The sequence below is a fragment of the Homo sapiens genome, chromosome 1, assembly GCF_000001405.40.
Source record: "Homo sapiens chromosome 1, GRCh38.p14 Primary Assembly".
NCBI lineage: Eukaryota > Metazoa > Chordata > Mammalia > Primates > Hominidae > Homo > Homo sapiens.
The window spans coordinates 23,122,763-23,139,224 of record NC_000001.11 but is presented as its reverse complement, the minus strand read 5'-3'; the positions used below and the strand labels follow the sequence as shown (position 1 = coordinate 23,139,224).

The window sequence follows — 16,462 nt, the reverse complement described above, 5'->3', positions numbered from 1 at the left end:
TGATGCTTTCACCTTGTGTTGGCATTTTACTTTTTCCAACCAGAGAGGGCATGAATGGGAAATGAGTGGGAAGTACGCTTTGGTGTCTGTGTGTGTGTGGAAAAAAAAAATCTATATCTATATATAATCTATATATATACACACACATTATATATACAAAATATACATATGATGTGTGTATATATATATATATATATATATATATTTTTTTTTTTTTTTTTTTTTTTGAGATGGAGTCTTGCTCTGTCACCCAGGCTGAAGTACAGTGGTGCCATCTTGACTCACTGCAACCTCCACCTCCCGGGTTCAAGCGATTCTCCTGCCTCAGCCTCCCGAGTAGCTGGGACTATAGGCACGTGCCACCATCCCTGGCTAATTTTTGTATTTTTAGCAGAGACGAGGTTTCACCGTTGCCCAGGGTGGTGTCGAACTCCTGAGCTTAGGCAGTCTGAACTCAGTCTCCCAAAGTGCTGGGATTACAGGCGTGAGCCACTGTGCCTGGCCTCATTTATATATATATATATATACACACACACACACACACACACACACACACACACAAACACATAATCCATATACCATAAAAATCATTTTATGTGTATAATTCGGTGCTTTAAAAAAAATACATTCACAGGGTTGTGCAACCATCATCATTATTTAATTTCAGAACATTTTTATCACCCCCAAAAGAAACCCATACTCATTAGCAGTCACTCTCCGTTCTCTGCTATTCTAGCCCCTGGCAATCATAATCTACTTTCTATCTCCATGGATTTGCCTATTCTGGACATTTTGTATAAATGGAATCATACCATATGTAGACTTTTGTATCTGACTTCTTTCATTTGCTATAGTGTTTTCCAGGTTCATCCACATTTTGTAGTATCTATCAGTACTTTGTTTTATTTTTTTAAGGCTAATAACCCATTGTATAATAATACTACATTTTGTGGTCGGGTGCGGTGGCTCACGCCTGTAATCCTAGCTCTTTGGGAAGCTGAGGCGGGTGGATTGCCTGAGCTCAGGAGTTCGAGACCAGCCTGGGCAACACGGTAAAACCCCATCTCTACTAAAATACAAAAAAAAATTAGCCAGTCGTGATGTCATGCACCTGTAATCCCAGCTACTTGGGAGGCTAAGACAGGAGAATTGCTTGAACCTGGGAGGTAGAGGTTGCAGTGAGCTGAGATCGTGCCATTGCACTCCAACCTGGGCAACAGAGCAAGACTCCATCTCAAGATAAATTAATAGTAACAGTAATACATTTTGTTTATCTGTTTATTAGTTGATGGACATTTTTCAATTTTTGGCTGTCATGAATACTTCTACAAGTTTTGGTATGGACATAAGTTTTCATTTTTGGGGATGTAATTCCTAGAGTAGAATTGCTGGGTCATATAGTACCTGTATGTTTAACTTTTTGACAAACTGTCAGACATTTTTCACAGTGTATCATGTTACATTCTCAATAGCAATCTATGAGGGTTCCAGTTTCTCTGCATTCTCTTACACTTGTTATTGTCTGTCTTTTTTTTATTACAGCCATACCAGTGGGGATGAAGTGTCATCTCATTTTTTTTTTTGAGATGGAGTTTCACTCTTGTCGCCCAGGCTGGAGTGCAGTGGCGCAATCTTGGCTCATTGCAACCTCTGCCTTCCGAGTTCAAGCAGTTCTCCTGCCTCAGCCTCCTGAGTAGCAGAGATTACAGGTGCCTACCACCACACCCGGCTAATTTTTGTATTTTTAGTGGAGGTGGGGTTTCGACATGTTGGCCAGGCTGGTTTTGAACTCCTGACCTCAGGTAATCCACCTGCCTCAGCCTCCCAAAGTGCCGGGATTACAGGTGTGAGCCACCATGCCTCGCCTCACTTTGGTTTTGATTTGCAGTTTCCTAACAGTTAATGATGTTGAGCATCTTTTCATATGCTTATTGGCCATTCGTATATCTTCTTTGAAGAAATGCCTGTGCAAATCCTTTGCCCATTTTTAGTTGGATATTTTTTATTATTGAGTCGTAAGATCTCTGTATCTCTCTGTATATTCTGGATACTCGTCTCTTACTGGATATAGGATTTGGAAATACTTTCTATGTGGGTTTTTTTATTTAATTGCCTAGAGTTCATTGCCCATGCCATGTATAAAGATGATATAGTGGAACTAGAGGTTCTGACAGAGCATATGTTGACTGAAGTGATTGCCATATGACAGATAGCACCATTGTTGTTATGCAGTTCTAGAAGCCTTTGATTACAAGAAAGGAAGTAAGCATTTAACTGGGAACTGGGGAACTTTTATTTTATTTTTTTGAGATGGAGTCTTGCTCTGTCGCCCAGGCTGGAGTGCAGTGGCACGATCTCGGCTCACTGCAAGCTCCGCCTCCCGGGTTCATGCCATTCTCCCGTCTCAGCCTCCCTGAGTAGCTGGGACTACAGGCACCCACCACCACGCCCGGCTACTTTTTTGTATTTTTAGTATTTTTAGTAGAGACAGGGTTTCACTGTGTTAGCCAGGATGGTCTCGATCTCCTGATCTCGTGATCCACCCGCCTCGGCCTCCCAAAGTGCTGGGATTACAGGCGTGAGCCACCGTGCCCGTCGGAACTTTGGGTTTTAGTCCTGTCATTGTCGCGGCCAGAGAGTATGACCTTGGGCATATTATGTAATTTTTTCAGAGTCAGTTTTCTCATCTGTAAAGTGAATGATTTGGACTAATCTTTAAGGTCACACAATACTAAAGTTTGAGTTGATAAGGTCCTGGGGGGCACATGTTATAGATCAGATTATACTCCCTCTCATTTGTTCTTACTACAGGACCTATGTAATGCTGTTTTACGTTTGTTGGAAAATTGTTTTTGTTTTTTCCTCTTTAATGAAGGACCCTCTGTGTGTGTGTGTGTGTGTGTGTGTGTGTGTGTGTGTGTGTGTGTGTTTAAGACGGAATCTGCCCGCCTCAGCCTCCCAAAGTGCTGGGATTACAGGTGTGAGCCACTGCGCCTGGCCCTGTCTGTTTCTTTAAAATTAGTCGTTATTAATTCTGACTAACTCTAATCATTTGAATAAACCTGCATTTTTATTTAAGAATTTATAGCTAAACCAAACCTTTAAATTTCTTTAATCTAGTGTTCTGTGACACAAATGATGAATTAGAGGCACAAAAAAGCTCATTGATTTAGCAACCTATTTGCTGGGTGTCTACTATGTTTCTGGGTCAGGTTGTATAATTAAGTACTAGCAGAATTGAGATGAGAATTGAGGTCTCCTGGACTTTCAGTTCACCACTATTTCCAGTATACTACTTTGTCATGGGTTACTAAGTTAGTCTGGTTAAGGAGTTATATCAAGAATTTACCAGCTTCTCAACTAAGGGTTATAGTAATTTGTCTCCAAATTCTGATCCCTAATAATTTATAGCATCAAGTAAAACCAACATATATTTGTTACATATTTTAGGTATAAGTTGATGCATAATTTAAAATTTTAATAATATTCTCTTCCTTTAAAGACCTATTTGCAGCCTTAAACAGTTACATGTATCTCTAAGCTCTTGAATTGGCTACCTATGATATATGTACAGCAACTCCGGTCCAATGTGAGTGCTTTTACACTATCCCAACCCGTGTTCTCTCTGGTTGCTTTGAATCCTGATTAAAATGATGTATTCCAGTACCATGCCTGTTCCTAACCACTTGTTCATATTAATGTGGTTTTTCTGAATCTTCAATAGAATATGCAACTATGTTGGAATCACAAATACAATTCTCTTGGAAAATCTCTGAAGTCTACCCAACTCCACCCCATAAGTAGGTACTAGTGTAGGCTGATTAAATGGTTTGAATACAAGTGTAGAATATTCCTAAGGAATCCATAGTTCTTTGTATGTAATTCTAAAAGCCAAAATGCATTTAAAATGAATAAAGTAATTTGCTTCCTGGCAAAACCTGACCTGAATTGAAGCAGGCTATTTATAATCTTTATTTCACTTTTTATTATGATTATTCACATATTTAACTGTAGAAATATTAATGTGTTTGCCTATTGGGTGCTGCCCCAGTCCTTAAGTTTCCAAAGTTTGAAAAATTTTGAATTTCAAAACACATTTAGCCCCAAACAAAGAATTGTGGATTGGTATTTGTTTTGTTGGTGATAGTTCCTTGTCACACAGATTCTTCTTGAAACATACTCCAGGGGATTGAGTTTTTGTATTGAGCTTTCATTGGTTAATAAAGCATGGCAGGGGTGGGAGGAGGGAGAGCATGAGGAAGAATAGCTACTGCATGCTGGGCTTAGTACCTGGGTGATGGGATGATCTGTGCAGCAAACCGCTGTGGCACACAATTTACCTGTGTAACCAACCTGCGCATTCTGCATATGTACCCCTGAACTTAAAAGTTGGGAAAAAAAAAAGCATGGCAACTAATTTCCACTGCTATTTTTGTTTGTTTCAGACAGGGTCTCACACCGTCCCCCAGGCTGGAGTATAGTGGCCTGATCATGGCTCAGTGCAGCCTTAACTTCCTGGGCTCAAGCAATTCTCTTACCTCAGCCTCTCCCAAGTAGCTGGGACCAGAGGCGTGCGCCACCATGCCAGGCTAATTTTAAAAATTTTTTTGTAGAGACAGGGTCTCACCATGTTGCCCAGGCTGGTCTCAAACTCCTGGGCTCAAGCAGTCCTCCTGCCTCGATCTCCCAAAGTGCTGGGATTTCAGGGGTAAGTCACCACACCTGGCCTTGTTTATTTTTTAAGAGACTGGGTCTCACTTTTTCACCAAAGCTGGAGTGCAGTGGTGTGTTCATACTTCACTGTAGCCTCCATCTCCTGGGCTGAAGTGATCCTCCTGTTTTAGCCTCCTGAGTAGCTGGGTCTGCAGACGTGCACCACCACACCCGGCTAATTTTTAAAATTTTTTATAGAAATGGGGTCTTGCTGTGTTGCCCAGGCTGGTCTCAGACTCCTGGGCTCAAGTGATCCTCCTGACTTGGGCTACCAGAGTGTTGGGACTACAGGTGTGAGCCACGGTGCCTGGCCTTGTGTCTGTTTTAATCTAGAGTAGGAGTCAGCAGACTTTTTCTGTAAAGAGCTAGATACTATTTTCAGGTTTGTGGGCCATCTTGTCTCTTGTGAGGGAAAAACAGCCATAAATTATTCATAAACAAATGGGCGTTGCTGTGTTCCTATAAAACTTCAGTTTGCAGACCCCTGATCTAGAGCAGTCCTTTCTAACTTGTTTGTGTGTATATCTTTAATAACATTCTCCTTTGGAAGAGTCCAGGCCAGTTATAATGTCCCATAAATCGGATTTGTCTGATTGTTTTCTTGTACTTAGATTCAGGGTAGACATTTTTGGGAAGAAATATTACATAGATGCTGCTGTGTACTTCCCCTTGTGTTGTACTGGGAGTCATATAATGTCAGTCTATCTCTTTATTTATTTATTTATTTATTTATTTATTTATTTATTTTTGAGATGGAGTCTCGTTCTGTTGCTTAGGCTGAAGTGCAGTGGCACGATCTCGGCTCACTGCAGCCTCCCCCTCCTAGGTTCAAGTGATCCTCCCGCCTCAGCCTCCCAAGAAGCTGGGATGACAAGTGTGTGCCACCATGCCTGGCTAATTTTTGTATTTTTAGTAGAAACAGGGTTTCACCATTTTGGCCAGGCTGTTCTCAAACTCCTGACTTCAAGTCATCCACTCGCCTCGGCCTTCCAGAGTGCTGGGATTACAGGCATGAGCCACTGCGCCCAGTCTGTCTCATTGTTGATGGTAAGTTTTATCTTTCCGTTGTAGGGATCCCTACTTCCCTTTGTGAGAAATCTGTACGGTGACTTTGAGAGAGTATAAATATCCTATTTTCCAACCAAATGGTTTTAGCATCCACTGATAATCTTAGCTTGAATCAATTATTACACTGGCGGTTGTGATTATAGTTCTTAATATCTGCCTAAGTAATAATAGCAATAATAATTAAATAATATTTTTAAAAATGCTTGTGAGCTTAGAAAGATCTGTTCGTATATATCGTCACTGTGATTTTGTAGTTTAGTTTCCCATCATAGACTTATCTCCTTGGGAGGATAAGGCTGAAAGATTGGGTCTTCATGTGTTGTGCTTTCTAGAAGCAGGCTTCCAAAATAGAGTGTCTTTCTTTTCTGAGCCCAAGGCTGGTTAAGAAGAAGGGACCTAGTCTAGGCTTTTGCCCAGGTTTTTGCCTTGGGTTCCTTACTTCTTATGTCAGTATTTCTTGCGTTTTAGTGGTTCAGTTTCTGAGTCCTGTAGTATTTTCTGGATCAGTTTTGGTCTAATTATATGTAAAAGCTTGTATTAAAGACCATCAAGTAGTTATAGCTAGAAAATTGCACCTAATAATCTTCTTAAAATAAACATTTTCTTCTCAGCAACTTCTTATGAAAAATTTAAAACATAGAAAAGTTGATAGAATACTTATTAGACTATTCATTGGAATTCAGTAATTGTCAACTGTTTGCCTTATTATACTTAAGTTGCTGTTAGTATCTGTGTCTCTATATATATCACAACAAATTTTTTTCTGAACAATTTGACAAGCTGCAGATGTGTCACCCTAAATAATAAGGATAATCTGCTATGTAACCACCATACCATTATCACACCTAAAAAATTGTTTTTCTTTATCAGCCCATATTCAGATGTCTCCAGATTTCTCAGGAATGTCTTTTATAGTTTTTTTTTTTTTTTTAAACAAGAAGTGTTCTCTTGAAGAACAATAGTAGATAAGAGACGCATATTAAGAATTGGACAGTAAAGTTTTCTGTGTGGTCTCCTGACATAAACAGTAACTAGTACGTTTATATGGTGCCCTGCAGGTAGCTGTAATTAGTTGCATTTCTTTGTTCAATAAAATGAGATTGACTGGGGATGGCAGTGTCAAGGATTCTTTAGCTTATGACCAGGTGTTTGACCTTTCAGAATATCATTGATGAGTATGACAAATTGAAAAAGTAAGAAATTAGAATGATGCCTAGCTCACTGCCTGACTCATGGTAGGTACTTAATGAGTATTTGTTGACTTAAAGATGTAACTGGAGGGGGTGTCAGAAAAGGAAATACCATATTTCTGTCCTCATTTGTTGAGCAGTTATTTGGTGATTTCAGTGCATTTAGTCTGTTAGATGCTGTGGGAGATTAAAGGTAGGAAACACCAGCTTGGGCAACATAGTGGGACTCTGTCTCCATGAAAATAAAATTAAAAATAAGCCAGGTGTGGGCCGGGCGCAGTGGCTCATGCTTGTAATCCCAGCACTTTGGGAGGCCGAGGTAGGTGAATCACCTGAGGTCAGGAGTTCGAGACTAGCCTGGCCAACATGGCGAAACCTCGTCTCTACTAAAAATACAAAAATTAGCTGGGTGTGATGGCATGCGCCTGTAATCCCAGCTACTTGGGAGGCTGAGGCAAGAGAATCACTTGAACCCAGGAGGTGGAGGTTGCGGTGAGCCGAGATCACGCCACTGTACTCCAGCCTGGGTGAGAGGGTGAGACTCCATCTCAAAAAATAAAATAAAATAAAATAAATAAATGAATAAATAGGAGCAGGAAACAATGTTCTTGCTCCTGAGGAGAACTACAGTATTAGGTGAGAGGAAACAAACTCGTTTTTTTTGGATTAATATTTATTGACTGCCTTCTGCATACCAGCTAGTATTCCAGGCTAGGCACTGGGGTACAGTGGTGAACAGAACTCAAAATTCTTCTCTTCATGGAGTTTACATACTAGTTGGGAGAGACAAGTAGTAAACATATCAACAGAATAATTTCAGATTGAGATGGAGAAAAAGAGAAGTTTCATATACTAGGAAGTAATGTGAGAGGAGTGCAGCTTTAGCTAGGATTGTCAGCTAAGGCATTTCTGAGGAATGATATTTGAACTGTGACTTGAATTAGGAGGCAGTAGCTGCCATGGGAAGATCTGAGGGAAGGCAGAGGAAGCTCCAAGTAGAAAGATCTTTTTTTTTTTTTTTTTTTTTTTTTTTTGAGATGGAGTCTCACTCTGTTGCCCGGGCTGGATTGCAGTGGGGTTGATCTCAGCTCACTACAACCTCCATCTCCCGGGTTCAAGCGATTCTCCTGTCTCAGCCTCCCAAGTAGCTGGGATTACAGGTGCCCGCCACCACGCCTGGCTAATTTTTGTATTTTTAGTAGAGACGGAGTTTCACCATGTTGGCCCAGGCTGGCCTCAAACTCCTGACCTCAGGTGATCTGCCCACCTCTGCCTCCCAAAGTGCTGGGATTACAGGTGTGAGCCACTGTGCCCAACCCCCAGGTAGAAAGACCTTAAGGTGGAAATGAGCTGGCTGACGTGAGGACCCAGGAGGCCAATGTATGTATATGGAACATTGAGTGAGAGGTCTCAGAGAGAATGGTAGAATATGATAGGAGATGAAGTAGGAGGGGTGGCAATAACCAGATTCTGTAGAGTTTTATTTTAAGTGATAGGAAACCATTGATGAATACAAATAGTACTCCATAAAACAATGGAAGGATTCAGACCATTGATAAGGGCTTAATTTCAAGAAACTATTAATTTGGGGACTGAGCATGGTGGTTCACGCCTGAAATCCCAGCACTTTGCCAGGCTGAGGTGGGAGGATTGCTTGAGCCTAGGAATTCAAGACCATACTGGGCTATATAGTGAGACCCCATCTCTAAAAAAAAAAAAAAAAAAAAAGATAACTGTTAACTTGGTGGATCCTAAGGATAACCCCGCCTCTCTTTCCCTCTTTTATTTTTTTCTTAAACAGATCTCTATTGAATAACCATTATATTCATAATATTGTACAGGTAAAAATACAAAGAAATGACAGTTCTGCACCTTCAAGGAGTTTTGTGTTTTACTTGGAGTATTATGACATAAACACATACACAAATGTTTATGCATGTCCTGTATAAAAGAACAGTACATCTATCATAGTAATATATGCTTATATACCGAATGTCAGTAGGTTATCAACAAAGGTAGAGTTAAAAAATAGTGAATGTGGAAAGGTTCCACTGAAGAGAGATTAGCATTGAATTTCTTGAATAGATTTGATGAGATGGAAAGGGTATTCCAGGCAGGGAAAATGTCTGGGCAAAGTTATAACATGAAGTAATTTGTCTTCAGGAAATGAGTGGATCAGTCTGTCCATAGAAGGAAAAAAGATAACCTCCAGCTTGCCAGGGCTTTGAGTGATGCATTAAGGAATTTAGACTAATCTGTAGTTATTGTGGATAACCCTTTATACATCTTACTTATGTGTTAGTCACCTGTATTCTAAATCTGCTTATTTATTTATAATATTTATAATATTGTCTGCTAAGTGCACATGTATTCTTTGAAACTCAGCCCTGGCAGATATACAATGCCATTGTGATTCTGGCACATGGTACGTATATAAATATAGATACAGATGCAGAAAATGAATGAACTGGGGAGGAAAATCTTTTAAGTGATCTTATTTCCTTAGGAAAATTTGATGGGATGGAATTTGTTTCTCTAGTAGGAGTGGAATAGTTGGAGGATTTTGTTGCGAGATGGATTGGAGGAAATGTTGAATTATAAGAAGGCTATGTGCATGTTAAAATGTGTTGCAAGATTCTGAAGTTCATTGTCTTATTTATTTATTTATTTTGAGACGGAGTTTTTGTTCTTATTGCTCAAGGTGGAGTGCAGTGGCATGATCTTGGTTCACCGCAACCTCCGCCTCCCCGGTTCAAGCAATTCTCCTGCCTCAGCCTCCCAAGTAGCTGGGATTACAGGCATGCGCCTCCACGCCTGGGTAATTTTGTATTTTTAGTAGAGACAGTGTTTCTCCATGTTGGTCAGGCTGGTCTCGAACTCCTGACCTCAGGTGATCTGCCTGCCTTGGCCTCCCAAAGTGCTGGGATTACAGGTGTGAGCCACCGCGCCTGGCCTCATTGCCATCTTTATAATCTGGGTTTTGATAAGGCAATGGTCATTAATTTTTGAGGGCTGAAAATAAGAGAATGGTGAGTCTAATGATGAGATTGTCCTATCTTGATCATTATTTAAAATATGCCCCACCACATACACACAATCCCAGTAGCTTCTAAACAGTCTCTTATCTACCCAGATCCACTGGCTTTAAAAATATTTTATCATTTCATATCAGTCTCAGCAATGTCATCGATAAATGCACTTTGTGACATTCATTAGGAGTGATGCTATAGCCTTTAAAGATTGTTGCATATTTTCTGTTTATTTTCTCTTTAGCTTAGGAAAGACTAATCAATATATAGGCTTATGCTGTTAATGTTTATTGGCTCCGCCTAAGAAGCACAGCTTTTATAGCTGGAAGAAATAATCTGGAATATTTTTTATCAGTATTACAGATCTGACATCTAATGTTCTGAATAGATAAGTGCCTTAGCATGAAAGGAGGGAATTATTATCTAGTTATAGAACCCAGTGTCCCTCCCCCACAATGAGGCCAGGGTTATAATCCTTCTAAAAGTGAAACAATATATTGAGGTCTGTATCCCAGTTCTCTGCTATTGGAGACTTAATAGTGCCAATTGGAGACATAGCACTTAGACATATAAAAAGGTTAGTAATGGGTAAGCCACATCCTTTCTTTCTTAAGGATAAACTAATTTGAGTTTAAGATGTTTACCTTATAATGCTCCAAATATAATGGGGTTTTAATAATGCTGGCCTTAGAGGCTTTTATTCTGTCTTCAAGGCTCAATTAACACTAATAATTAATATTGTATAACACTTTACATTTATGAAGTGTTTTTATAAGCATTAACACATTTGAACTTTAGAGCATGATTGTTAGATGGGGAGGCAAGTACATTTATCTCTTTTAGCTGAAACTTATTAATAAATTCAGATTTTACTTCACATCCATGTCTTAGTACACTAAGCTATGCTGCTTTTTATGATTTCACTTGCTTTATATCCAAATTCCCATAGTAATGAATTATGTTATGATGGATTCCATTTTGGAATAAACCCAGTTTGTTTTTTTTTTAACTGAGAAACTTGTATTTTCCACTTTTTTAAAAATTAAAAGGGAGTTGAATGAACTTAAGTTTTTTCTTTTTTCTTTTTTTCTTTTTGGGACAGAGTCTCGCTCTGTCACCAGGCTGGAGTGCAGCGGCGTGATCTCGGCCCACTGCAACCTCCGCCTCCCAGGTTCAAGCGATTCTCCTGCCTCAGCCTCCCGAGTAGCTGGGATTACAGGCACGTGCCACCACACCCAGCTAATTTTCGTATTTTTAGTTGAGACAGGGTTTCACCATGTTGGTCAGGCTGGTCTCGAACTCCTGACCTCTTGGTCCACCTGCCTCGGCCTCCCAAAGTACTGGGATTACAAGCATGAGCCACCACGCCCGGCCACTTTTTTTCTTTTTAAAACTAAAATTGGGCCTGGTGCGGTGGCTCACGCCTGTAATTCCAGCATTTTGGGAGGCCGAGGTGGGCGGATTACGAGGTCAGGAGATCAAGACCATCCTGGCTAACATGGAGAAACCCCGTCTCTACTAAAAATGCAAAAAATTAGCTGGGCTTGGAGGCGGGCGCTTGTAGTCCCAGCTACTTGGGAGGCTGAGGCAGGAGAATGGCGTGAACCCGGGAGTCGGAGCTTGCAGTGAACTGAGATTGTGCCACTGCACTCCAGCCTGGGCCACAGAGCGAGACTCCGTCTCAAAACAAAACAAAACAAAACAAAAAACAAAACTAAAATTGGAGCTGAAGAATTTGATCCTAGACAGATCCTTGAGTTTGAATTAAATTATCCTTTTTAACTCTCATGGATTCAGTAAATATCAAATGTTTTCTGTGTGCCAGGCTTAGTGCAGAGGGTGGAAGGTGGTGGGAGAAGCCTTAAGAATTAAACTAATACAGTGAAAAAAACCAAGAATTTAAAGTCAGGTAGACCTGAATTCAAATCCCAGCCCTGCTAATTAGTTATTAGTTGCAAATTGCTAAGTGCCTTGGAGCTTCAATTTTGTAATCTCTAAAATGAGAATAATAACTCTTATAGAATTATTTTGAGGAATAGGGTGATGTATATAAAGCACTTAGTAATGTGTGCTTTATAAGACATTACTGCCCATAGACCAATGAATAGACAAAAATGTATGGTGAGAGTTACTGAGTCTTGACAGGAAGCGTTTGGCTGACCTAATGCAGAATAGAGCGAAGTGATTTTGACTGCCAATATACAGTGTGCTGCTTTTGTTGAAACTTGTAGCTCTCACACTGGTATTTGCCAACATTACATTTGACTTCTCACATAGTAAAAGACAACTCATTCCTGTGGAGTTTAAGGCATGTGGAAACATCTATCTGTAGGCTAGACATTTAAACTTCTGTTGTAGTTCAGTTGCGGGAGAAATTGCACATTACCATAGAGTAGTGAAAGTCAGGTAGCAGAGAGCCTCTCTGGGCTGGTACCTATATTCACTTTCCTGAATTCTGTAAACATCAAAAGCAAGAATGGCCATCCAGGATGAAAGGTACAGCTGACAGTATGGTCAATAAACTGAACAGGGTGTAAGACTAAGAACTTATTTTGTTTTCTAAAATGGTGCCTTCTTCGTATTTAAACTTCTGTGGAGCATCTGTCATATGCCAGGTACTGTTCTGGGTTCTAGGAATATAGTGGTAGTGGTGGGGAAGCCCCTTTTCTAATAGAGCTTACATTCAGTGAGAGAGAGTGTAAGTAAATATAAAATATAATGAATCTCAGGAAATACTGAGAACCATGAAGAGAAGTAAAACAGGAGAAGCAAGTATGTTGGGTCTCACTATGTTGCTCAGGCTGGCCCCAAACTCCTGGGCTCAGCTGATCCTCCTGCCTTATCCTCCCAATGTACTGGGATTACAAGCATGACCTCTGCACCCGGCCTTGCTTGTTTTAAAATAGGATCTAAAATAGGAGCCAACATAGTGTGTTTTAGTCACTATTTAGAAGGGCCCTTTATATGAGTTGAGAGAGCACTGACTTCAGAAGTTGCTTTAGGAGGTAGAAGGGAGGGGAGTGGGTCTGGTACAGTTAAAAATTGGCCTGCATGCCATCCTTGGAACACATATTTTACTGTGGGTTATACCATTCCAGAAGACGTATATTTATGTGTCCAGGAGACCTAATGATCGCCCTCCCATACACACTTCACAGTATTTTAAAAAGTATAGTCTGTGGACTATCTGTATCAGAATGCACAGTCTGTGGGCTCTGTAACAGATCCACTTAATCAGAAGATTTGAAAATGGTACCGAGGAATCTGTAATTTTAACAAGTACCCAGGTAATTGTATATCCATATGAAGTGTTGAAAATTACTGTTTGTAACCTTGTCGATAGAAATAATCTTCAACCCAGTCTTAGTAGGCAGGCAGGCAGGCAGGCAGGCAAGTACTTGCTTATTTAAGATTCGTTACTTTTCATAATTGACATTGGAGCTTGCATTTCCTTTTGCATTGATTTAACTTCTGGCTTTAATCTCTGATATACTGTGTCCTCCATGTTAAGATGTGTCGATGAGACAGCAGAAAATGAAACCTTTGTCCTCTTTCCTTACATTATTTTGTGTTTTCACTATTAGCCACATCCCTGGGAAGAGGCAGCCTCTGAATGGAGAATGCTGAATTGGCTGTATAGACTGATGTGCTTTAGTAAAAAGCTTGCTCACACTCAACACTTTTTTCCGTGTTTATTGAAAATTCTAGTTATTTACCTGTTACTAAGAGTTTATTTTTCATAGATCTTTAAATGTCTAACATGCACTTAAAATGAAAGAGAAAAACAAAGAGAATAGGATATTGAGAAAGTATATGATTTACTTCATAGTAAGACACTAAATACTTGATATCAAGGTAGGGGATAGAAAAAAAATCAGCAATGGCAAATTTAAACCATCTGCAGATGGTCCAGCTAGATCCTTACAGGGGTCGCAGCCATCATTTTAGTGGGCATACTTTTGAAGAAAGTATGCACTGTTTTCTCCATTTTAATTTTAACGATGCCACTGATACTGTCGGGTTGTAAGCATATCTGCTAGGACTCATGCGTAGGACTAGGCCAGCAGATACCCAAGCATATCTGCCAGCTTCCAGGGAGGGCTATTGAGGACAGGGTTTTCTAACTTCCTTGGAATTTCCACTTCCTAGTAGTATGATTTGAGTCCCTCTCTCAGCTCTGTATGATGGGAAAATCTGCAATTCAAGCTTGATTTATTTGGCTTAAATGATGGGGCAAACCTCCAAACCTGGGCAAGCTCAACACTTTCGTACCTTGCCTTTTTTTTACTGTCATGGCTCCTGTCAAGGTTAGGTCATTTAGAGTTTGAAAGGGCATTAGAATGAACGAAAGTCTGTAGGTTTCATTTTACTGTTAAAGAAACCAAGAGTCAGAAAAGTGAACTTATTTTCCTTGAAGTCTAGATACTAGAATATGAAGTCAGGTGATGTGGATTCCTTCAGTGGAGCCATCTAGTTGAGTAATCTTTTAAAAAAATGTACCTCCTTGCCCCAAAATGATGTTAATCTTTCTGTTTAAGGGTTCTTGTAGTCTTTCCATTCTAGTAGTCGATTGTTTTTGACTTCACCTGTGTAGTGGTTGGGAGGCACCATTAAGGCATGAGTGATAATTGTATCTTGCTTCTTAGTAAAATTATGAAATATTTAAGAGAAAAACTCTTGAAATTAAGGCATATGGAGGAGGAATAACTCTCCCTGAGTCACACCACAAAGCAACAGAGGAGAATTCACAGAGAGTTGGTTTCTTTGCTTGGTACCATATGTTTACTTTCTTTTGCCTACCCTGTCCTTAGCCACTTGACTCCCTTAAAGTCAGTCTTGTGAAGAGGTATGGTGTGGCAGAAGATACCAGAGTTGGGAGTCTGGCCACTTAGGTCCTAGGTCCAGCTTTGCTTCAAGACTCCGTTTCCTCTCTTTGGGCTTTATTTTCCCCATCTTTAAAATGAAAGGCTAGACTAGATTATTGCACCCTAAGTATCTTTCCAGCTCTGATATTCTTTGATTTCACGAATCTTGGAAGGTTCTAATGCTGTTTGATGAAGGGCTGCAGCTTTCCATTTGCTCTTGCTCACAGCATGATTCTGCATTGAAACTTTACCATGGTGTGTACCTTGGGTGGTCTTAGGGCAAAAATTTTTTTTTTCAGGAGGAATTTTTCTGAGAGTGTAGATTATATAGATAAGCCAATTTTTGTTTTCTTTTTCTTCAGTGCTCTAAGACATCTGAATGTTTTTGTTTTTTTAAAGAGAGATGGTGAAAGGTTAAAAATAAGAATGAGAAAAGACTACTTTGAAAGTTGGATCTTTAGAAAGTACATTAATGAGTATCCCAAGTGACTACTCTTGGGAATAATCAAGAATAGCAAATGTCTTAGGTCTATATAGGGTGGCTTAGCATTGTGGCATTTTCCTGGTGCTGTTGCAAAGCACAGAGATGTTCAAAGTCTATGGTTAATTTTTGACCTTGGAAAGGAAATGCTGGCTTACCTCAGGGCCTGAGAGCAGGGAGAGCTACTGAGGACAGGGTTTTCTAGCTTCCTTGGAATTTCCACTTCCTAGTAGTAGGATTTGAGTCCTTCTCTCAGCTCTGTATGACCAGAAAGTCTGCAATTCAATCTTGATTTATTTGGCTTAAATGATGGGAGTTTGTTTAACCCTGAAAAATGTCACTTCAACCTTGAGATAGCCTAATGATGCTTTTTTTTTTTTTTTTTTGGAGACAAAGTCTCACTCTGTTGCCCAGGCTGGAGTGCAGTGGTGTGATCTTGGCCCACTGCAACCTCCGCCTCCCGGGTTCAAGTGATTCTTCTGCCTCAGCCTCCTGAGTAGCTGGGACTACAGGCATGCACCACCACGCCTGGTTAATTTTTGTATTTTTAGTAGAGACGGGGTTTCACTGTGTTGGTCAGGCTGATCTCGAACTCCTGACCTCGGGATCCCCCCGCCTCGGCCTCCCAAAGTGCTGGGATTACAGGGGTGAGCCACCGCGCCCGGCCAGCCTAATGATTCTTATAGGATACTAAAGCTATTTGGACATGAGTCTGTCTCTAGAACACGCTTGATGGCTTTGTTCTAAAGTGATAAAGTATAGTCTAGCTCTATACTAGACACCATTTGTCCTTATGCTGTATTCTTCTAGGTAGGTGAGGCTCCTTCTATTCCTGCCTGAATGAAAAGCATTTAGCTGACTTCCCGAGCATGCTGCATCTTGTCCTTCAGTTTTTCTTTGTTTTTCATTATTCTTTGCTGAAGCTCAGCATGTCTTCCAGTTGTGGTTCTACACAAGGCAGGAGCCATAGAAGTTCTGCACGATTGCTTATTAGAAAAGAAACGTTAAAAGCATGAGTTAGGAAAGGAGTTTAGGTCTTTTACTGTGTTCATAGCATTAGGATGAAGAGTTGGGAAGATGGGGGAGGTGTGGAGACTTGGATCCAATAAGACTAAG

General features: G+C 40.3%; 1 protein-coding gene across 10 annotated transcripts in view, besides 1 other annotated feature; it reads left to right on the top strand.

Annotated features, from left to right (window-relative positions):
* The window catches only part of LUZP1 (leucine zipper protein 1), a 94,481-nt gene that overhangs the window by 38,898 nt on the left and 39,121 nt on the right, over nucleotides 1-16,462 (top strand). Inside the window, exon 1 of one of the 10 annotated variants that reach the window (XM_047429988.1) lies at nucleotides 7,984-10,000. The exons of the other annotated variants lie outside the window; for them this stretch is intronic. The gene's annotated coding sequence lies outside the window, so the exon portion shown is untranslated. Of the gene's footprint in view, nucleotides 1-7,983; nucleotides 10,001-16,462 lie in introns of those variants that run through there. 10 annotated transcript variants of the gene reach the window in all.
* Nucleotides 5,528-5,834: a silencer, noted in NCBI's record as "fragment chr1:23459884-23460190 (GRCh37/hg19 assembly coordinates)". NCBI's record gives its function as "represses an EF-1alpha promoter that drives an FKBP-Casp9 reporter gene in an ReSE screen in K562 erythroleukemia cells {active_cell/tissue: K562}" and the evidence as "EXISTENCE:reporter gene assay evidence [ECO:0000049][PMID:32094911]".